At 36.0% G+C, this 24,283-nt stretch overlaps 1 long non-coding RNA gene across 2 annotated transcripts; it reads right to left on the bottom strand.

Moving 5' to 3' along the window:
• Positions 1-530: 530 nt before the first annotated feature.
• Positions 531-22,885, bottom strand: LOC105374023 (uncharacterized). Of its 2 annotated transcripts, none has more exons than XR_924305.2 (3): positions 22,795-22,885; positions 5,622-5,828; positions 531-838 (listed from the first exon to the last, which is right to left on the bottom strand). It is a non-coding gene; the product is annotated as an uncharacterized LOC105374023 (long non-coding RNA). The 2 variants fall into 2 exon arrangements; XR_924306.2 differs by having other exon boundaries at positions 5,622-5,776.
• Positions 22,886-24,283: the final 1,398 nt, after the last annotated feature.

Genomic DNA, 24,283 nt, shown 5'->3' with positions numbered 1-24,283 from the left:
TTATTTTTGTTGAGTTAAACTTTCCTTTTTGATGCTGTTGTTAGTCCAGCAAAATTCAATGATTTGGCAAATGTGTACATTATGTGCCTATTGCAGGCTTACCATGTGCCAGGTGTTTTTAACTTATGGTGGACTCTATGACAGTAGAGCCAGACTGAGTGTCTGACTTCATGGAGTTATTATACATATATTATCACAAATATAAATGGCTTGCAATTAGAAATATCTATTGTTTTACTGTCCACAATTGTAATAAGCTCTTAGGGCAACATCCAAACAATACAGAACTATAAATAAACTCTTCTATTAACGCTACATCTGAAGCTCATGATTAAGAGACGTGATTGGTGGTGTAAAATCAAAAAGACTCAGCTTAAAATTGTGCCTGGGATATGAATTAATTCTATGTTCTTGACAAGTCACTTCCATTTTCTGAATCTTACTTTCATCATCTTGTAATGGAAACAGTTATAATACCTACCTAATAAGATGGCTGTGGGGACGAAATGAAATGAAATGTGTACAGAGAATGACAATGCCAAGCACATAATGTGCATTTAATAACTAGAACTGTTGTAAAAATAGCAAGTTTGTAAATAGCCTTAGTAACTCTTTCAATGTACGTATCGGTTGCATCACTGCATTTTAAAACAAATTATCTACCTCAACTCAACAGAAATAAAAAATAACTATCCTGCAATTTTTGGAAAAGCTCAAATCACTGCAATTTAAAAAATTATTCCACTATCGTGGCTCACTTAATCTGTAATTGAGGAGGTGCTTCTATGCTTCTTTAAAAGCAGACAATGTTGCTGGTGATGCTGAAAGTCTTAGTTTTCTAGAAATAGAAATAAATTGTAGAATTAGAATGGTGATAAAGCCACCTTATTTCAGAGTTAAGAAAATAGGCATAGGGATGGAAAATAATGGCTATAAAGACATTTTTATTTTAGTTTTTAAGATTTTGTGTTTTTAGAGCAGTGGTAGACTCACCTCAAAATTAAGAGGAAGGTACAGAGATTTCCCATATGCCCCTGTCCCTACACATGCACAGCCCCTTCATTATCAACATCCCAACCAAAGTGGTATATTGGTTACAACTGATGAACCTACTTTGGCACATCATCGTCACCGAAGTGATGGTCCCACTTGGAGTTGTACATTCTATGGGTCTCAAAGACTTATTTTTTTTTCCAATTATCTTTTCATAATTTAAAATTTGGAAGAAAAAATATAATTTTTCCTTAATACCTTTTAGACACATTTAATTTCACACAATTCTTTTTAAATCCACTAAAGGTAAATGCAGAAAAAGTTGAGGTAAATCTGTGGAAACACACTAAACTCTAATGACATTCTCATACCACTTGCTTGTGCTACTATGATGTTGGAAATTTGGCCTCTTGTTCATGGAAAAATTCCTGCCTTTCTTTCTTTGATGATATTTATATTTATTTATTTTTCTTCTTTTTTAACACGTGACTTCAAATAAAAATCAGTGATGGCACTAAGCCAAGATTTGAGACATTTCATAAAATTAAGACTCGTGATCTATTCTCAAAGTGTGTAGTCAAAGTCATTGTTTTCCGTTAAGGAGTTCAGTGCTCTTTAAGTCAGCAATGTTGACCTTTCATCTTGCAAGTTCACTTGTTTGCCTATATATCACATCATAAAATTAATAATAAATACTAAAGAAAGTGTTCTTATGGTTCTGGGTCTTTATGCTACAGTGCAAGCTAGTCACATTCTAGCTTACCGGAAATTCTGGGCTTTTAGTATTGTCTTTGTTTAATGAGCTCACAACAGAATTACCTGTTCTTTGGAAAACTATGTGTTTTTTTTTTAAATTAATTGTTCCTCTAAATTATCTTACCTGAGGTTACTCTGACCCTGGACAGTTAATTGTTCCTTTCTCTGTGTTCCTGTAGCACTCTGCTCATACCATTATTGTAGCATATTGTTGTATAATTATTTTTTTCATTATCTGTGTTTCCCACTACACCTGGAGCCACTTGAGAGCAGAGACATTATATCTTTTATTGTTGCTAGACTAATATTGAACTCTAGTAAAATCCAGACTAGACTTGGTGCATGGTAATATCATATACTAATACATATTTCCTGAAGTTTATTATTAAAATATATGTCTCATAATTGGTTATAATTAAGATGTTTGGTAATAAGATATCACCTATTACATTATTGAGTGCCTACTATTTGTACCATTTTGGGGCCAAATATCATAACACCACCTATACCTACACCCTCAGTTTTTATATTAGGAGGTTTTTACTCAACACAGTTTAGAAACCTGTCCAGTTTCACAAAGTTACTGAGAAATTATAATATGAAATCATAATTTTTACACTTCAAAGCCATTATTATATTATATAACCTTGTGGCCATATGTAAAGGATCTGGTCAAGGTTAGGAAAAGGGAGGCAGTGAAAGTGGAGCCTGAAACTTTCTAAAAGAACAAGGTATGTCATAAGTGCAAGAAAATAAAGTTTTACCTCTAATAGAATAGAAAAAAAGAAATTTCCTGTTTCACATCCTTAGTGACATTATTAGTCTGTTTGTGCTGCTGTAATAGAATACTTGAGACTTGGTAATTTATAAAGAACAAAAAATTATTTCCCACTGTTCTGGAGGCTGGAAAGTCCAAGAAGAAGACACTGGCATCTGGTTAGGACCTTCTTTCTCCTTCCTCACATGGCATAAGAGCAGGAAAAGAGAACTCACTCCAGAGAGCCATTTTATAGTGGCGTTAATCCATTTATGAAGGTTCTGCCCTGCATTAGGCTCCACTTTCTAACATTGTTACATTGGAGATTAAGTTTCCAATACATACATTTGGAGGAGACAAAAACATTCAAACCATAGCAGTGACTACTTACTCATCAACTGTTTACTGTGTACAACAAGTCAAATATTACACTGGGACACAGGTTAATGAGAAACTGTCTCTGATTACAAGGGAATATCACTACATTAATGGAAATGGAACAAAGTCAAATACATTTCCTGGTATAGGGATCATAAGTCTCTATGGTGTAAATATGAGACTGTGTAAAAGGGTATTAAAAAGTATGAACATTGGCATCAGAAAGACATGAATTTGAGTTCTGTTATTCAAATAACTATAAGATCCTAGGCAAGTTATAAACTACTCAGTATTAAATCCTTCAGTTGTAAAAGTGATGGAGTAAAGTAACTTATTCATGTGACTTTAAAAAATTACATCTATATTTGCATATAGAAAAGTACTTATTATTTCTTATAATTTATTGTGTACAGGTTATACTAGTTACACAATATTAAGTAGGTGCTTAGTAGGTAGACAAAACAAATAATTTTCAAAGCTGCAGTTTATGAGAAAGAAAGGAGGTGGTTTCGCTTTTCTTGATTTTTTAAAAAATAAAACAAAATAAAGATTAGGAGCTCTCTGATAAATAGCATACACAGGCTTTATAAAAGTTCCCAAAGACCAAGTTCCTGGCCTAAAGGAAATAAGAATGTTTATAAAGACTTTTTCACAAACCAGACTTCATCTGCATGCATTTAGTTTGAGGTTGATAAAACAAGTGAAGGACAATTCATGCATTTCTAGTTAAAATATTTTGCAATCCACTGTCCTTATAGAATTTGGGTAAAACTGCCAGTGAATATGTTGGCAAGTAAGTAGCATTCAGCAGAGCTTCTGTTTGTTTTTTCTAACCCAGTTGAGTACCGAATGACTAAACATTTCAAGACAGTCAGTAATGGGTGATAGGCAAGTGTAAGGAGTAGGAAGCACCTAGTCACATTATTACATTGATGTGGCTGATTAGAATCTACTCAAAGGAGCTATGATAAACCAAACACATGCTTACAGAATCTATAGTGAGTGAACCTTCAATAAGCACAATTCATTATGTAACATCCTCTAGTTATGCATTGAATACCCAATGCAGAGTCCCATTATTATTCACACTCATTTAAAGTTGAACTTGCATTGTGACAGTAATCTTCAAAAGGCACCAAAGGAGTTACTGTGTTTGATTAAGCAAACAAAATATTTTGAATTTTTTTAAGTGATAGAATCTTTGTTACTTGCAAAAGGACAGTCTTGATTCTTACCACTGTGATAGCAACTTAGTCCCTGGGTCTGGTTGATTTCATCTCCGACCTTTCATACACTGTCTGTAGTTAAGATCCATTCATGGGATTCCCTTAGGGGTTAAGCCTATTGTCCAATTGTTCAAAGTATTAAAAAAACTTTTGCCCCCAAAATATTAGTTCAAAGTACCTCTTTTTAGTTCCAAGGCACTGATCTTTTCCCTACTATATTCAGAGATTCTGAATAACTCCCTTACTTCATTTATGTTTTTAACTTGAAGTTACAGACCTTGATCAAGTGTCTACTAGTCATTTTTTGTGACCTCCTAGAGAGATACTCTGCCCTCTCAGTATTTCCCTACATTTTATCATTGAACCTTTTTTGTCATTTTTGCCACCTTTCCCCCTCCAGGTTTTTCTGTCCCTTTCATTAACCTGCAGGGGCTTGTGCTGCACCACAATATCTCTATTGATTGTCACACTAGGACCAGGTGGCCCTTCCTATTCATCTGCAAGGAAGCTTCTTTATCAAGTCCTTGTATTGTGAATCTACCAGCTGCGTATTTTTCTTTCTCTGTAATGCTAGTAATATTCAGCACTGACTTAAGTGGCTTAAGTGCTGAAAATCACGTTTCAAAGCTATTCAGAATTGTGTCTTTTCACTTAGGGTGAAATTCCATTGGTCTTGAGAAGGAAGTGTAGGTGATTTCACAATTCTAAACTTGTTCCTAATGTTTTATCAGGGCTTAGTTTGGAAGACCAGAATGCTTCCGTGAATGATAGTTGAAGGAGAGGATTCTTTGAAAAATAAGAAATTATTCTGTCTTGTTTCTTTCTTTCTTATATAATCACACATTCTGAATTAAAAAAAAATTTGCGGAGGCAGGGCACGGTGTTTCACGCCTGTAATGCTAGCACTTTGGGAGGCCGAGGCAGGCGGATCACGATATCAAGAGATTGAGACCATCCTGGCCAACATGGTGAAACCCCGTCTCTACTAAAAATACAAAAATTAGCTGGGCATGGTGACAGGCGCTTGTAGTCCCAGCTACTTGTGAGGCTGAGGCAAGGGGAATCACTTCAACCTAGGAGGCGGAGGTTGCAGTGAGCCAAGATCGCGCCACTGCACTCCAGCCGGGCGACAGAGCGAGACTCCATCTCAAAAAAAAAAAAAAATGTGTGGAACAATTTATGAGTATGCAGTATATGCAAAATATTGGGTCAAGTGCTATAAGAATTAAAAAATATTAGTAGAAAAACTGTCTTTCACTTGTTTTTGAACTGTTCTTTCCAGGGATGGAGATGCATTTTAACTGGTATAGCCACACTCCTTCCTTTTGTCAACTATGTAGCAAATGCTGCCTTATTTGAGAGATGGTATATGCACTGGATAATAGTACAATTTAAGGAATTACATTTCTTCAAATTCTGACATCATCACTTATTATACAGGCAAAAATTATTTGACTTTTCTAAATCTTTTGTTCCCACCGTGTAAAACTGAATATAATAACCATACCTACCTCATGGTGCTATTGTAAGGATTTAATGAAACCATCAATGGGAAGCCCGTAGCTCTTCTACAGAGGAAGCTTTCAATGGTGCTTGCTATATTTATTCCATGCTTGTAGGGCCATTTAGGTTGCCCAGCACCTACATTTTCTTCTCACATGGAGATCTTAAAATAGATGCAAAACAAACAATAGAGGCCAATTATCTGTCCTCTATTACTGGAAAGAAAGGAACAATAATTGTGTGGTTCACCTATGGAATTTGCAACATTGTTTCCTGAAAGTGACACAAATTCTAGAGATTAGTATTTGTAGCCTCAGTGGAAATTCTGAGACAGTAAACTGCAATGCCCAGGCCTGGTGGGAGTGTTCTGTGGGGCTCTGCCTTTGTAGGCAGATGGTTCCTTGGTTTCCCAGGACTCTCACCTGCCTTCTCAGCTCAGAGAAACTGCCTGGTACTGCCTGGCCTTCCCTCTCTGTGTGAAAACTCTCAACAGGCAGTGAGCAGATATTTTGATGCTATCATAATTAAGTTACCCAATCATAATGAGGCACAGTTATTGATAAGAGAATTCTATAACTTGAATAAAAACCTGCAATGGCTCCTTGATTCTTAAAGAATTAAATTCAAACTCCTTGGCCTGAAATACGAATTCATCTAGTCGTTGGTCTTGTTGTTACACCTGGTAAAAATTCTGACTCTTCTATTCTCAGACCATGGGGATTTTGTTAATTACTGTGTCCCTCCTGTTCTTTATCTATAAATTGGTAATCATAGGGTTATGGTGAAGATGACGTAAGATAAAACTCAGTAAGTGGCATCTTATTTTCCGCTCTTATTCTATATACATTTTCCCCAAATACTACTGATACTATGTCGTATCAGAGTGTGGTGGTAAATTCCTTACAAGAATAGCTTTTAGGTGTTGCAGCAATGTCAAAATTGCAAAACAAAACCACGAACTTCATACCCCTCACTTATTTTTTCTCTTTTATTTCTTACATATAAACTCTTCTACCCCTTTTTGGAATATTTGCCGAGCACTGCCTTCATTTCCTAACTTCATGCCTATTTCAGCGGCTCCTCTATGCTTCACTTATTTTCTAGTAAAACTTTTCTCAGAGCTCACCAGCACTTCTGTCTTTCTTTCAACACTTTTTGAAGTTTAAGTTTGCCAACGTTTACCTTGTTGAAACATAGTAAATATTAAATTGCCTCATCCCTCATCACTCTGAACGATGGCTACTATTTATTCCTATTTTCTTTTCATTTGGTTTATTTATTTCATTATTTTGCTCAGTTGTTTGGTTTATTTTAAATAATGAATTACTACACAGGTGTATCTGTGTAAAGTCCTATTTTAAAATAGGTTTACAGGCTCTAATATTTTTATTTACTTGTTAAGGAAAAATTCTATTTTTAAATTCTATTATAATTTTATTCTCTATCTCTATATCAGAAACTATGTAACATTTCTGAAAAAACAGGGCTATGATGGAGCTTTTCCTTCTTATTTATTTACCTCTTTCTTGATTCTCTTTTACAAACATCCTCTTTCACAAAACTGCGTTTACATTAAAAATAGTATAGATCTTGTATTTCTTACTGTAGTTTCCTATGTTTTTATTCTTCTCTCAACTTCTGTATGGTAATATATCATTACCTTCATAAGAATAAAAGATGTATATTTTTGTTAGCCATCTAAGTCTCCCCAAATAAATACAGCAAGAAGAGAGCTGTCTATCTAAAGGCCACCATAAAGAAAAGAAAGGATTCAATTATATGTACAGTAAAAGAAAAGCTAATACATATTTGAAAATCGGAACCACAACAAACTCAAAAAGTAAGGAAAGTTAAACATTTAATTGACTTATATTTATTTTAACTTTGTACTTTTATGTGAATTACAGTATTTTAAAATATCGTGTTTTCATACTGTGTTTTGTATCAATTATTGAGGAACTCTGATTAAAACCTGTATCCAATATTTCTGATTTGATTCCATGATGCATATATAGAGACGTGTTTAGGGACCATCTACTATTCTACTGAATAATGTTCTCTTATGAAAGGTTGCATTTGAATAGACATTTGTGGTATTAGAAGGTATTATAACAAGCTCCTTAGAGCTTTCAATCATAAAATAAGTATCATTGAACGTGTATTATATATAAGGCATCATCCTAGGTGCCAGAGCCATATGATCATTGCCTTTAGGGAACTGAAAATCCAGTTGCAGAGATATGGATGCACATGCAAGCATGTGAAAATAATTATTAATTTATTGACTGTCTACTATGTGCCAGCTGCAATCCCAAGATTGTCTAAGTTCTCCAGCATTGACAAATAAGTATATTGTATTAGATTTGGGGTCTTATACTCAAACTGATATGAGCAAATAATTTAATTTAACTAAATTTATGTATTCTCACCTATGAAATGGAGAAAATAAAGGTAACTACCATATGCAGTCAGTAAGGATGAGAACTTTATCGGAGTTATTGTGTATTTATTTATATATATATTATATATACAAATACATATTTATTTGTGAATATAGATGAATATATACAAATAAACATATATACATTCATTTATATACACACGCATATATTTGTGTGTTTATATATATTCTTAAGACCTTGAAGTTCTGTTTCATAATTTGAAAATTTTAAGATAATTTTTATAATCTCAGATCCAAGCTACCCTAAGCCATATGAGTCTATAATATTTCTTCCAAGAGATAAGTATTAGGAAGAAACTTGTAATAAAAACACCATCTCATTCATTAAGAGAATAATCAGTAAATCATATCTATAATAAGTAGTCTTTTTTAAAAAAATAATTTTGACTTTTATTTTAGATTCAGGGAGTACATGTATAGGTTTATTACTTGAGTATATTGCATGATGTAGAGGTATGGAGTACAAATGATCTCATCATTTAGGTACTGAGCATAGTACCCAATGGGTAGGTTTCGACCCTTCCCTCTCCCCAACAGTCCTCAGTGTTTATTATTCATGTGTTTACGTCCCAATGTTTTGCTCCCACTTATAAGTAAGAACATGCAATATTTGGTTTTCTCTTCCTGTATTATCTCACTTAGGATAATGGCCTCTAGCTGCATCTATGTTCCTGCAGAGGATATGATTTCTTTCTTTTTTATAGCTGCATAGTATTCCACAGTGTTTATGTACCACATTTTATTTATCCAATTTACCACTGATGGTCACCTAGATTGATTATGTGAACCCCTAAAATTTGAGAGGGGTCACAGTTAATTTACAAAATGTATTTTGCCAAGGTTGAGGACATGTGCCCATGATAACCTGAAGAGGTCCTGATGACAGGTGCCTAAGGTGGTCAGAGCACAGCTTGGGTTTTATTCATTTTAGGGAGACAGGAGACATCAATCAACTTATGTAAAATGAACATTGGTTCGGTCCAGAAAGGTGGGACAATTTGAAGCAAAAGCGGGACAACTCGAAGTGGGAGGGGGCTTCCAGGTCACAGATAGGTAAGAGACAAATGGTTGCATTCTTTTGAGTTTCTGATTAGCCTTTCCAAAGGAGGCAATCAGATATGTGTTTATCTCAGTGAGCAGAGGGATGACTTTGAATAGAATGGGAGGCAGGTTCGCCCTAAGCAGTTCCCAGCTTGAATTTTTCCCTTTAGTTTAGTGATTTTGGGGGCCTAAGATTTTCCTTTCACAATTCCATGTCTTTGTTACTATGAATAGTGCTGCAATGAACATATGAGTGCATGTGTCTTTTTGGTAGACCAATTTATTTTCCTTTGAGTGTATACCCACTGATGGGATGGCTGGGTTAAATAGTAGTTCTGTTTTTAAGTCTTTTGAGATATCTAGAAACTGCATTCCACAATGGCTGAACTAATTTACATTCCCACCAACAGTGTATAAGCATTCCCTTTTCTCCACAGCCTCACCAACATCTGTTATTTTTTTACTTTTTAATAATAGCCATACAGACTGGCATGAAATGGTATCTCATCATGATTTGTATTTCCCTAATGATTAGGGAATATTGAGCATTTTTTTTATGTTTGTTGGCCACTTGTATGTCTTGTTTGGAAAAGTGTCTGTTCATACCCTTTGTTCCATGTTTTAATGAGGTTATTTGTTTTTATCTTGTTGATTTGTCTAAGTTTGTTATATATTTTGTATATTAGACCTTTGTCAGATGCATAGTTTGTCAATATTTTCTTCCATTCTGTAGGATGTCTATTTACACTCTGGATAGTCTCTTTTGCTGTGTGCAAACTCTTCAGTTTAATTAGGTCCCACTTGTGAAGTTTTATTTTTGTTGCAATTGCTTGAGGAATTGGTCCTAAGTTATTTCCCAAGGCCAATGTCCAGGATGGTATTTCCCAGATTTTCTTCTAGGATTCCTATACTGTGAGTTGTTACATTTAAATTTTTAATCCATCTTGAGTTAATTTTTGTATATGCTGAAAGGTAGGGGTTCAGTTTCGTTCTTCTGCACATGGCTAGCCAGTTATCCCAGCACTATTTATTGAACAGGAAGTCCTTTCCCTCATTGCTTGTTTTTGTCAGCTTTCTCAAGGATCAGATGGCTGTAGTTGTGTCCCTTTATTTCTGGCTTCTCTATTCTATTCCTTTCGTCTATTTGTCTACTTTAATACCAGTACCAGGCTGTTTTGGTACCATAGCCTTACAAAATAGTTTGAAATTGGGTAATGTGATGTCTCCAGCTTTGTTCTTTTTGCTTAGGATTGGTTTGGCTATTTGGACTTTTTTTTCGGCACCTATTGAATTTCATAATAGATTTGTTTAATTCTGTGAAAAATAACATTGGTAGTCTAATAAGAAGAGCATTGAATCTACGATTGCTTTGGGCAGTATGACCATTTTCATAACATTGATTCTTGCTATCCATGAGCATGTAATGTTTTTCCATTGTTTGTGTTATTTGATTTTTTTCATCAGTGTTTTGTAGTTCCCCTTGTAGATATCTTTCACTTCCAGATATATTATTAGGTATTTTGTTTGTGGCTGTTGTAAATGGGATTGTATTCTTCATTTGGCTCTCAGCTTGAATGTTATTGGTATACAGAAATGCTACTGATTTTTGTATACTGACTCTTTATCCTGGAACTTTTAAGTTGTTTATCAGTTGGAGGAAAGTTTTGGTGGAGTCTTTAGAGTTTTCTGTGCATAGAATCATACCATCAGTGAAGAGAGATAATTTGACTTCTTTTCCTATTTGATGCTTTTTCTTTCTTTCTCTTGCATGACTGCTCTGGGTAAGACTTCCAGCACTATGTTTAGTAGGAGTGGTGAGAGTGGACTTCTTTGTCTTGTTCCGGTTTGTAGGGGGAATGCTTCCAGCTTTTGTTCATTCAGTATAATGTTGGCTATGGGTTGACCACCATGTGTGGGCTATGCATGGAACTTAGATGACTCTATGAGGTAAGCATTATTTTCTCTGGTTTAAACATGAGGAAATTGAGACCCAATTTTCTTAGATGAATTGCCCAAACTCATATTGCTAGTATGAACAAAGCAGATATTTGTACCTAGCTATCTTCAAAGATTATACATGAAATCCTGAATTTGAAGGTATGATAGACATGGAGATGCACTGAATGGATCCCTCTTTGAGGAAATGTATGTTGCCCCAGCTGCTGGTAGTGCTCAGTCTTTAGCTATCAGCACCTGCAAGGATTCAACAGTGACTGCAAGCCCCTCTCATCAAGGCCATTCCCTTCTCAGGCTGGCCCACGTCTAATGACTGATGGTGGTAAAGATATTTCCACCATTTTAGCCTAAGGCAAGATACTCTGATAGGCTGTTTTAATCCCACAGTTTCACATATGTTTGGTTGAGGCTCTTGGCTTGCCTGTATTGTAGCTTCATTTCTTTCTCAACCTGCTCTTACTTCCTCTTCCACTTGTCTACAAGTTTATCTGAAGGGAACTCCCTAAAACATTCTGGGCAGTAAAGTCAATCTGAGGTTTTTTTCCTGGAGAGCCCAACTTGCAACACAAGGCGTCAATTAGAAAATGGACTATTGCATCCCTTGGGCTATCCCTTAGTTTCTCAAATCATTTTAATTTTAATTTTTTTTAGAAGAGGTGCTTTAATGCCAAGCTCTCAAACAATATTTATGTACTCTTTCTGCTCAACCTTCTATTCCTAGCTTTTGATCTGATAAAGAATGTGATAAAATCAACAATTCTTGATTTATAGTTATAAATGAAAAGTCTTCACTCTGCAATTGATATCTTACTGAACAGTCTTTTGGTGGTCACATTTTTGCAAACTAAGCCATATCTAGCTGGTTTTTGTTTAATGGATGGACTTTCAGACAGAGAACCCAAAAAGCTGAGTTTTTGCTTTGCTCATGCAGGTAACTAACTGGATGACATAGGGCCATTTGTATTTTTTCTTTTAGCTCCTTATCTTAAAAAATAGGATGTTTCATACCCAATACTTCAGGTGTCTATTTCCCAAATATTTTATTCTTTATTTCTTGTTGATCTTTGGAATTAAGGCTGTCTGCTCCCTCTAGTCTTTCTACAAAGTAGTTAATGAACTATAAACAATTACTTAAAATCACTAGTAGAGTCTTAAAGGAACCCTGCAGTGAATCCTTTGTAGTGTAAATAATCACCTTCTAATTTATGTGTTTTGTAAGTGCAGATTCTATTTATACTAAGAAAATTCAACCCTTTACAGTGAGGTAGAAGTGACTTCTAAAAATTGTCACTTTTTGAAATGTAATTTCAAAGGTGAAAAATAGCACTATATTAAGGTCATGTTTTTAACATTTTAACACTCCTCACCAATAAAAATTGTCCACTTTCAAGAAGTTTACCACTTTTTGTGTCTGAGAACAGTTTCTCTTAGTACACCAGAATCTTCAGAGTTTCTGAGCTGTGTATATTCAAAGGCTGTTAGCTATACACGTCCTTAAAAGTAGCTTTGGCTTCCTTAATACCCTCTGAGAACACAGAGGTACACAGAGATTTTATTTTCACTGCTTTGGGAATCATATACACTATGCTTTATTTTACCAGATGAAACCATGTAAAAATCATTAATTTTGCCAAGTTATGTTGGAGGAAATATTTATTCTATGTGCTAATCTGGGCTCAAGCTAAATATCAAAAGTGATGGCGCATCATGGAACATGAAGGTTTAACCTAACAGAGAATGAGCAGATAATGCAAAAGGAATGCTTCTTAAGGAAATATGCCACATATTAGGGACTATATATAAATTCAAAATTAAATAATTATAATTTTAGGATGCCTCTTAATCACAGTAGCAGAGAGAATATAAGAATTATTGAGCTTGTTAAGTTGTAGGTTGCCTGTCTAGATAGCCTCAAAAATGAATTTAAATAGTCTCTGAACATACGAGCCTTGTTTTCTGGAAAGACCTAGACTGCCTTCATCAAAATCATTTGCTTTCTTTTCTTCTCTCTCATGGAACTTGTTTTCATGTTGATTGCATTCAATTTATTCTCTTTCTATTACAAGGTTTGTTTTTTTTTGTTTTTTTTTTTCTTTTTTTTTGAGACGGAGTCTTGCTCTGTCGCCCAAGCTGGAGTGCAGTGGTGCCATCTCGGCTCACTGCTAGCTCTGCCTCCCAGGTTCACGCCATTCTCCTGCTTCAGCCTCCTGAGTAGCTGGAACTACAGGCACTCGCCACCACGCCCAGCTAATTTTTTGTATTTTTAGTAGAGACAGGGTTTCACCATGTTAGCCAGGAGGGTCTCGATCTCCTGACCTTGTGATCCACCTGCCCCGGCCTCCCAAAGTGCTGGGATTACAGGCGTGAGCCACCGTGCCCGGCCACATGTATTTGTTTATATATTTTATTCTCTTATTCGATTATGACCTTTTAAGGGTAGGAGTTTATTCACCTCAGATCATTGAAATCTTATTGCACAGTGACTCTCAGAATAAGCACAAAATAAATATTAGTCGAAACACTGCATAAATTCTATTCAGAAAAAATATTTCCATACTCTATATTAAATTATTTTAAAATAACAATATTTTATCAGCCAACAACCAGAAAGAACATACTATATAACTTTGGTGGTGTACTATTTATAGCAATGATACTGTCTTAAAGCTGGGAAGCACTTAACTTAAAAGTTAAGTTAGAGGTGAAGTACAAGGCATAACTATTTTATGGTAACTGTTAACATACTTTAGATGATTTAATTCTATATGTAGCAGTTTTAAAACAAAATCTCTAAAAGTAAAGAAAAATATTGAAAATCACACTAGAACTTTTTGAAAATTGGCATATTAATTTTAGAATTCATCTGGAAGTGTGAAAGAGCATAAACAATAGAACAACAATTCTGACTGTTCATTGAACAAGCTGAAGTTTGAAGTCTATAGTTTTAAAAATCTCCTTCCCTAATGGTTTTGCTAACTTCTATTGTACCTTTCCTTTCCGTTTTTGGCAAATCTCTTGTGTATTTCAGCACTTTGTCAGCAATTGTGGTGGTACAACCATCTCATTCACATGTAATAAAAATTTAGTTTTATATAAGTCAAACTTTTTACCTCTCTTATCAATTCAACCTACCTTTCTCCCACTCCTCCTACTGAGAATGGTTAAAGGGTTATTGTCTGATCTACTTTTGTCCACTTGCTAGACTGGTTCTAATTCATCCCGGATTGGCTGGGAATGAGTATTGAAGCATAAAGGGAATACTGGTGCTATTGGATTGGAATTTTTCAGTAGGTATTCTTTCTATGGCAGTTCTTCACACAGTGTGTGTCTTCTGAGATATTTTTATTGGCTTTTCTGAGAGCCCTCTCTTTTGAGACTCCTATAATGAATCTTTAGCATGAGTGATAGATTTTGTGGCTGGATGCCTCTGAAGTCTCTCAGCTTCTGCATTCAGATGGTGTGACCTAGAGAAACTTTGTCTTCTGGGGTTCTCCTGTCTCAGCAGTCAGCCTCATGAAGTGGGGTTATTGTAAGATTGCTTGTAGTCTGTTAAAGTTTATAATCTCCAATTCTGACATGAGAAAACTACATATTCTTGTTATAAAATGAAATATAATATTTAAGATAAATAAAATGTGTAGAAAATATGTCCAGTATGATTTCTAACTTGTAAGAAATGTATATGGATGTTTGAATAAACCAGTAAAAAACCTTTGCATGACTATATAAAAAAATTTTGGCTCTGAGAGTGAGATTAAAAGTAGTCTTTCCTTTCTCTTTTTTGATTTTCCATGTTTTTCAAGTTTTCTACCAGTATTGTTTGCTTTGGTGAAAAGAAAAATAATGAATGTTTTTTCTTTAAAAAAAAAATGAATGTTTTTTCTTTAAAAAAATAATGTTTTTTCTTTAAAAAAAATAATGTTTTAAAGTATGTAAAAGTAAAAACACAAAGGCTATTTTAAAAGATATGATTATAGTAGTGTCTGATGGAAGCAGCAACAGCATTACAAAGGAAAAGGATAGGTGATACCAGAACTATTTTAGAAGCAATTGCTAAGATGGTGTGGAAGACTGAGTAGTGTCTTCCCAAAATCCATGTCCACCCGGAGAGTGTGCCTTTATTTGAAAGAAGGGTGTTTATAGATGTAATTAAGGTGAGGACTCCAAGATGAGATCATCATGAACTTGAGTGGGCCCTAAATTCAGTCAATAGTGTCTTTATTAAAAAAGGAGAGGCAGATTTGAGACACATGAAGACAGATAAGGTCTCGTGAAGGTGGAGGCAGAGACTAGAGTTATTTGGCCCCAAGTCAAAGGATGCCAAGTGTTGCTGTCATCCACCAGAAGGTAGGAGAGAGGCAGGGGACACATTCTCCCTCAGTGCATCCAGATAGAACCAACCCTGCAGACTCCTTGATTTTGAACTTCCATTCTCCAGAACTGTGAGAGAATAACTTTCTGCTGTTTTAAGCCTTCGAGTCTGCGATCATTTGTTACAGCAGCCATGGGAAACTAACACAGTGGGTAAGAGCCAAGTGCAGCTTCAGTGAATGATCAGTCTCTACTTTGGATTTACGTCAAATGTTTAAGATAATATTCAAGAATATGAACAGTAATGCTACCAAATAAGATGATAGAATAATTGTGCCAAAACAAAATAAGTTTATAAAAAGGGTTTAGTTTATTTTCTCTGTATTGGATGTGCAGAGATTAACAAGGGGGAAAGCTATTTTGTACTCTCTTACTGTCTCTTCACATTCTGCATGTATATAGAAATATATATATATATTTTTCTCAAGTCCCAGCTAGCAAATTACATTTTTTTCTTAAATTTAGCTTCAGGGGGTACAGGTACAGGCATGTTACATGTGCAAATTATGTAATGCTGAGGTTTGGGCTTCCAGTGAGACCATGACCCAAATAGTGAGCATAGTACCCAATAAATAATATCTCAACCTTCACCACCTTGCTTCCAACCTCCCCACCTTTTGGAGTCATCAGTGTCTTATCATTTTCTTTTCTTTCTTTTTTCTTTTTTTCTTTTTCTTTTTTTTTTTTTTTTTGAAATGGTGTTTTGCTTTTATTGCCCAGGCTGGAGTGCAATGGCACCATCTTGGCTCACCACAACCTCTGCCTCCCAGGTTCAAGCAATTCTCCTGCCTCAACCTCCCAAGTAGTTGGGATTATAGGCATGCGCCACCACACCTGGCTAATTTTTGTGATTTTCCATGTTGGTCAGGCTGGCCTCGAACTCCTTACCTCAGGTGATCTGCCTGCCTTGGCCTCCCAAAGTGCTGGGATTATAGGCGTGAGCCACTGCTCCTGGCCCCATGTCTATTATTTTCATCTTTATGTCCATACCCATTGTTTAGATTCCACATATAAGCGAAAACCTGTAGCATTTGATTTTCTGTTTCTGAGCTATTTTTCTTAATGATAATGGCCTTCAGCTGCATTCATGTTGCTGCAAAGGACATGATTTCATTCTGTTTAATGGCTAGGTAGTGTTCTATGGTGTATATGTACCACATTTGCTTTATCCAATCCACCATTGATGGATACAGGTTGATTCTGCAACTTTGCTATCGTGAATAGTGCTGTGATAATCATATGAGTGCAGGTATCTTTTTCATAAAAAGATTTCTTTTTATTTGAGTAGATACCCAGTAGTGGCATTACTGGGTCAAATGGTAGTTCTATTTTTAGTTTTTTGAGAATTCATCATACTATTTTTTATAGGAGTTTAACAAATTTACATTCCCACCAATGGTACATAAGTGTTCCCTTTTCTCCGTGTCTTGGTCAACATATGTTATTTTATTTTATTTTATTTTACCTTTTTATAATAGCCTTTCTGATTGGTGTGAGATAGTATCTCATTGTGGTTTTAATTTGCATTTCTCTGATACTACTGATGATGAGCATTTTTTTCATATGTTGGTCATGTCTATGTCATCTTTTGAGAAATGTCTGTTCATGTCCTTTTCTCTGTTTTTAATGGGGATATTTGTTTTTTTCTTGCTTGTTGGTTTAAATTCTTTATAGATTCTCAATATTAGGCCTTTGTTGGATGTATAGTTTGCAATTATTTTCTCCCATTCTATAGGTTGTCTATTCAGTTGATTATTTCTTTTGCTGCTCAGAGCTATTTAGTTTAATTAGGTCCCTTCGCCTATTTTTATTTTCTTTGCAATTGCTTTGAGGTTTTTTATAGGTATAAGATCATGTCATCGGCAAAGAGAGAGATAATTTGACTTTCTCATTTTCCAATTTTCATGCCTTTGTTTTTCTTTCTCTTGCCTAATAGATCTGGCTAGGACTTCTAGTACTGTGTTGAATAGAAGTGATGGGAATGGACATCCTTGCCTTCTTCCAGTTCTTAGTGGGGGTGCTTCCAACTTTTGCTGGTTCAATATATTGACTGTGGGTTTGTCCTAGATTGGTCTTTAGTGCCTAGTTTGTTGAGGGTTCTCATCATTAAGGGAGCCATCCTTGCATCCTTGGACTAAAACCCACTTGATCATGATGAATTATGTTTTTGATATACTGCTGGATTCAGTTTGCTAGTATTGTGTTGAGGATTTTTGCATGTATAGTAATCAGGGATATTGTCCTGTTGTTTTCTTTTTTGTTGTGTCTTTGTTGAATTTTGGTGTCAGGATAATATTGATTTGGTAGAATTCCTCCAAGTATTAGGGAGGAATCCCTCCTCCTCAATTTTTTTGCAGAATAGTTTCACTAAGATCAATACCAGCTCTTCTTTGTACATCTGGCAGAGCTTGGCTATGAATCCACCTGGTACTGGACTTTTTTTAATTGGTAGGTTTTTTATTACTAATTCAATTTCATAACTTATTACTAGTCTGTTCAGGGTTTCAATTTCTTCCTGGTTCAATCTTGGGAAGTTTTATGTTTCCAGAAGTTTATCCATTTCCTCCAGGTTTTCTAATTTGTGCAAATAGAGATGTTTATAGTAGTCTGTGAGGATCTTTTGTATTTTTGTGGTATTAGTTGTAATGTCACCTTTATCATTTCTGATTGTGCTTATATTTTGTCTTTTCGTGGTCAGTCTAACTAGTGGTCTATCAGTTTTATTTGTCTTTACAAAAAAACAATTGTTCATTTTGGTGATCCTGTGTATGGATTATTGGTCTCAATCTTATTTGGTTCTGCTCTGATTTTTGTTATTTCTTTTCTTCTGATAGCTTTGGGTTTGATTTGTTGTTTTTCAGAGGTATGACATTAGGTTGTTAATTTGAGATCTTTCTGTCATCTTGATGTAAGCATTTAGAGCTATAAACATTCCTCTTATTACCACTTTTGCCATATCTCACTGGTTGCTTGATATGTTGTGTCTCTATTTTTGTTTCAATTTTTATTTGATTTCTGCCTTACTTTTGTTGTTAACACAAAGGCCATTTAGGAGCAAGTTGTTTAGTTTCCATGTACTCGTGTGATTTTGAGACTTTCTCTTGGTATTGATTTCTAACTGTATTCCACTGTGACCCAAGAAGATATTTCATATAATTTTGATTTATTTGAATTCATTGAGACTTACTTTGTGATCAAGAGTACTGTATCAGTCAATTTTCATACTGGTATAAAAAACTACCTGAGACTGGGTAATTTATAAAGGAAAGAGGTTTAATTGACTCACAGTTCAGCATGGCTGAGGAGGCCTCAGGAGACTTACAATCATGGTGGAAGGAGAAGGGAAAGCAAGGCACCTTTTTTTACAAGGTGGTAGGAAGGAGAATGAAACCAGGAGGAACTACCAAGCACTTATAAAACCATCAGGTCTCATAAGAACTCACTATCATGAGAACAGCATGGGGGAAACTGCCTCCATGATTCAATTACCTCCATCTGGTCTCTCCCTTGACATGTGGGGATTATGGGATTTATGGGGATTACAATTCAAGATGAGATTTTAGGTGGGGACACAGCCAAACCATAACACATCTGGTCAATTTTGAGAATGTTCAATGCACAGAAGAGAAAAATGTATATTCTGCAGTTGTTAGGTCAAATGTTCTGTAGATATATATTGGATTTATTTGGTCAAGAGTCCAGTTTAAGTCAAGAGTTTCTTTGTTAGTTTTTTGCCTAAGTTATCTGTCTAGTGTCATCAGTGGGTTGTTGAAGTCCCCCACTATTATTGTATGGCTACCTGTTTCCTTAAGTACTATTTGTTTTACACATTTGGGTGCCACAGTATTCAGTATATATATGTTTAGGATAGTCAAGTCTTCTTGTTGAATTCCTTCCTTTATGATTAAATAATGCCATCCTTTGTCTTTTTTTTTTAATTTAGTTGGTTTAAAGTCTGTTTTATCTGATACAAGAATAGCAAGCCCTGCTCTTTTTTGTTTTCCATTTGCATAATAGTTCTTTCTTTACCTCTTTAAGCCTGTGGATGTCATTTCTCATAGGTGGGTCTATTGATTGCAGCAGATGGTTGAGTCTTTTTTTCTTATCCAGTTTGACAAACTTTATTTTCTAAGTGGAACATTTAGGCCATTTACATTCAAGATTAATATTGATATGTGAGGTTTTGTTCTTGTCACGGTGTTGCTAGCTAGTTGCTTTGTAGTCTTAATTGTGTAATTGCTTTATAGAATCTGTGAAACTTGTACTTATGTGTGTTTTTATGATAGCAACTATCTTACTTTCATTTCCGTGTTTAGAACTACTTTGAGCATTTCTTGTAGAGCCAGTCTAGTGGTGAAGAATTTTCTTATCATTTGCTTGTCTGGGAATGATTTTATTTCTCCTTTATTTATGAAGGTTAGTTGGGTAGGATATAAAATTCTTAAATAGCATTTTTTTCTTTAAGAAAGCTAAAAATACATCCCCAGTCTCTTCTGGCTTGTCAGTTTTCTGCTGAGAAGTCAAGTGTTAGTCTGATGGGTTTATCTTTATAGATGATTTGACCCTTTTCTATAGCCCGTTAAGATTTTTTACTTTAGTGTTGAACTTGGATAGTCTGATGACCATATGCTTTGGTTTATCTTGTATGGTATCTTGTAGATGTTATCTAAATGTCTCTCATCTGGGTATCTACCTCTCTAGCAAGATTAGGGAAATTTTCTCGAATTATTCTCTCAAATATGTTTTCCAAATTATTTATGTTTTATTCTCCTTCCTCAAGAATGCCTGTAAGTCATACGTCTAGTCATTTAATATGATCCCATATTTCTCAAAGGCTTTGTTCGTTAAAAAAGCCTTTTTAATTTATTTTTGTCTAACTGGGTTACTTTGAAAAACAAATCTTCAATATCCAAAGTTCTTTCTTCTGCTTGGTCTAATATGTTGTTAAAGCTTTCAACAGTATTTTGAAATTCCTTAGGTGAATTTTTCAAGGCCAGAAGTTCTTTTTTTTCCTTAAGTATACTAGTTTGTCTTTCATATACTGAATTGTTTTTCTTGTTTTTCTATGTTGGTTTCCAAATTTCTTTTGGATCTCATTGAATGTCCTTGCAATTCATATTTTGAATTTAACTGTCACTTTAGAATTTTCATTTTGGTTACCATCTATTGCTAGGAGCTAGTCTGGTCCACTGGAGTGTCAAAACACTCATCTTCTCGTACTGCTGAACTTTTTGTGCTAGTTCCCTTTCATCTGAAGGAGATGTCACTTCTTATTTTTAAAATTGCTATCATTTGAATGGGACTTATTTTTTTTAATTCTTTTTTCCCTTGAAGGTATGACTGTAGTGTATGTTGTTATCATCTTTTGGCTTCGTTTCTAGTCCTTTCAGGGGACCAAGGCTCTGTAATGAGTTCCTTGGTTGTGGATAGCTTTTGTGTGATGGCTTTCTTTTTTTTCTTTTTTCTTTTTTTTTTTTTTTTTTTTTGAGATAGAGTCTTGCTCTTTCGCCCAGGCTGGAGTGCAGTGGCATGATCTTGGCTCACTGCAAGCTCCGCCTCCCAGGTTCACACCATTCTCCTGCCTCAGCCTCCCGAGTAGCTGGGACTACAGGCGCCCGCCACTGCACCCAGCTAATTTTTTGTATTTTTAGTAGAGACGGCGTTTCACTGTGTTAGCCAGGATGGTCTCGTTCTCCTGATCTTGTGATCGCCCGCCTCGGCCTCCCAAAGTGCTGGGATTGCAGGCGTGAGCCACCGCGCCCGGCCTGTGTGATGGCTTTCTTCAATGCTGCTTGTTGTAGGGATGTATTGGACAGGTGAGCCAACACACTATCTCCTATGGGGCTGAGAGTGTAGAGATTTCAGGAAGCCTATCTCATACACTACCACCCTTCTGAACAGCAAGCTTTTTATTTGGTGGTGCAGTTCAGTCTTCTGTCCAGTTAAGTGGAGATTAACAGTAAGTACTGGCTTGCTCTCTGGTAGCTTCATAGTGAGTGAAGGCTCTGGTCCTGACAGAGGAGGCAGGGGAGATTGTGTTGGGTTGCACTGAGGTCTTGAGGGTAGGGTGGTGGAGGTCGGCACCAGCTCCTCATCCTGGGCAAGCAGGAATGCAATCTGCTTTCCTACCATGTCCCTATCATAAGGCTTATGACAGTCAGTACACATAGACATTGTCCTTTGGCTCCTTGCCCCAGCTAGGGATCATGTTCCTCTGGTGGCTACCACCAATATGGGCTTGGGGAAGAGCAGAGCCTCTTTCCTCAGTCCAGAGCAGACAGCTCTGTGGTTTGTCTACCCTCTGTTGCTGGGACATTGCTACTCTGTGTAAAGAGGGGGCAAATGGCACCACCCTTCCTGGAAGCCCATGAAATGCCAGCTCACTTTTAATGGGGGTACAGCCATGGTGAAAAGCATTGGAAAGGCTGTCTCCAAGTGCACATCTGCTGGCCCACAATGGTGAGAGCCTCTGCTACATCTTCAACAGTAGGGAGGGGAAATGGGAGATGACCCCCTCACCACATCTGTTCATGGTTGATGGTCCCGCCTTCTTCGGTGGCCAGAGCTATGCCCACATTTCCTTTTTCTCAAGGGTGGCTTTGCTGGGATGTGCTCCCATATCCCCTAGAGCTGGCCTGTGCTGAGGACGAGCTTTCCAGGGAAACACAGCCCCTGTGGTTGTCAAAGTCATAGCAGGTTATCTCTGTAGGGGATCTGTTGATGTAGCAACTTAAGGGATGAGGTTCCCCAGGCAGAGCAGTGGCCCACAACAGGTGTGCAACCAGTATGGTACCAACCACCTCAGTTTGGGCCTGTGCGGAGTGCAGCTGCACCTATGTGAGCTAGCCACCTGGATCCCTGTCCCCAGGAACTTCCCAAATTGCCACCAACATCATTACCTGGAGTCACCAGGGTAGAGGGATTCCCCAACATTTTGGAGGTTATCAGATTGTTGTAGGGCTAAGGGGAGTAGAGAAGCCCCTGCTATTACCCTTTTCGTGGGGTTCTGAGTTCCTTGAGAGTCAATCTTTGCCAGATCCTTGCTGCTTTTCTGCACGCCACGTTGTTCCCATGGGCTCTCTGACAGGTCCTGGCTCTCTTCTTTCAGCTCTTCATTTGGATCATGACCATTCACCTGTAACTTTGATCTTCCTTATGAAGGGAGTTGGTATCTGACATCCTAGTTGGCCATCTTAAAACATACACACACACACACACACACACACACACACACACACACAGATTGTAGTTTTTTAAATGATCCCTAAGAATGTGAATTTAAGAATGTGAATTGGACTCTGTAAAAGAAAAAATCTTTATATCAAGGAGCTGCCTTTAGAAAATCAACTTACCACAACATTTCCAATTGAGAGATATAGGATGATAATAGTTTTCTGTGACTTTTCAGTATTTCAGTGTATTGGATGGAATAACAAAGCATAATATGAGCCCTGATGCTGGATAGAGATTCAAAATGATTCTAGGATTCCATAGATATCAAGGTTCTCAGTGAACAATCAAGAAATCTAGGACCTATTATGTGGCATAACTAGGGCTTGGTAGCTTGAAATAGGATTGTGGTGAAGGGGATGTAAAGAAATATACTGCTAATATTTAGGATGTAGTTTATAAACCTTTGGTCTTTGTGTATAATCTTGCCTTTTCAATATCCACTCCTAGCAGAAGGAAGGAAAGAAAATATAATATAAACAAGAGGCAAATTGATTAATTTTGAGATTAATGACCCTTTAAGAAGTTATTGATATTGTGTATTTTATTATTATCAATATTTTAATATTATTGCTATATTATTATTTCTATGTATTTTATTTATATTCAAATTGTTTGAATTTATAATTTAGAACTTGTTTTCTGCTAAGGAATTTCTAAATAATCTTATAAGATTAAACACTAGCCCTGTGATGTTAAAACAAAAAGGTGGATCGGAGATCATTTTAAAAGAGCGCTTAACCTATGGTTAAGATCACTGAAATCCCTGAAAGTTTATGTTCAGTTTTTTGTGTATGTGCTCATTAGTCTTGGCAGCGGCTTAATAACTTTGATTATGTCCTCAAAGGAGTAGTAGGCCCAGAAATGTTAGGGACCTTATATCATAAATAGAAGAAAGATCACTGTACCAGCAACCCAGAAATATTTGTTACATTCGCTGAGTATTGAATTCAGCTCTCAAAATCCTGGAAGCCAAAGTAAAACAAAAAAAACACACCAAAAAGCTATGCGTAATTCTTGTACAATAAAGAAGTACAATTTCATTTGCAGAGATAGACTATTTCCTAGTACTAAGCTTAAAGAGAAATCAATCCTATGGCTGATTCTTCAAGAAATATAACATCATTTAATATCCAAATATCTCTGACAGCAGGATTGTAAAATATATGAACAATTTAAGTTGATGTTTCTAGTGAAAAAGAATGAAAGAAAAGCTGAAGACATAACTTTATGTCTTAACTGCAAAAGCATAACTCTAGGGGAGGCAAGATAATATAGACCAGATGTAATAATATAGGAATCTAGCTTAGGCTTTGAGAAATGGAAGTTTAACATATCTGTTAGTTGGGTTCTCTCAAATATCAAAGAGAGCATGTGGTGAATGTCAATCATTGCATTGTTGAATTCTTCTGTCTCGGCCTGCATTAAAATTGTTTAAAGGTATACAGTTTATTCATTTATTCTAAAAGCTACATACTAACATGACAACAGTGGTTTCTGTTATGATGAAGAAACTGTCCTAAATCTGCCTATGTGTGGGTAATAGATGTACCCAATACAGAGCCAAAGTTTTCTCAAAAATTAATGTTGTCGTATTCGAACACTTAGACA

Source organism: Homo sapiens, chromosome 3 (assembly GCF_000001405.40).
Source record: "Homo sapiens chromosome 3, GRCh38.p14 Primary Assembly".
Lineage (NCBI taxonomy): Eukaryota > Metazoa > Chordata > Mammalia > Primates > Hominidae > Homo > Homo sapiens.
Note: the sequence above shows the minus strand (reverse complement) of the source record. Positions and strands in the feature narration are given on the sequence as shown.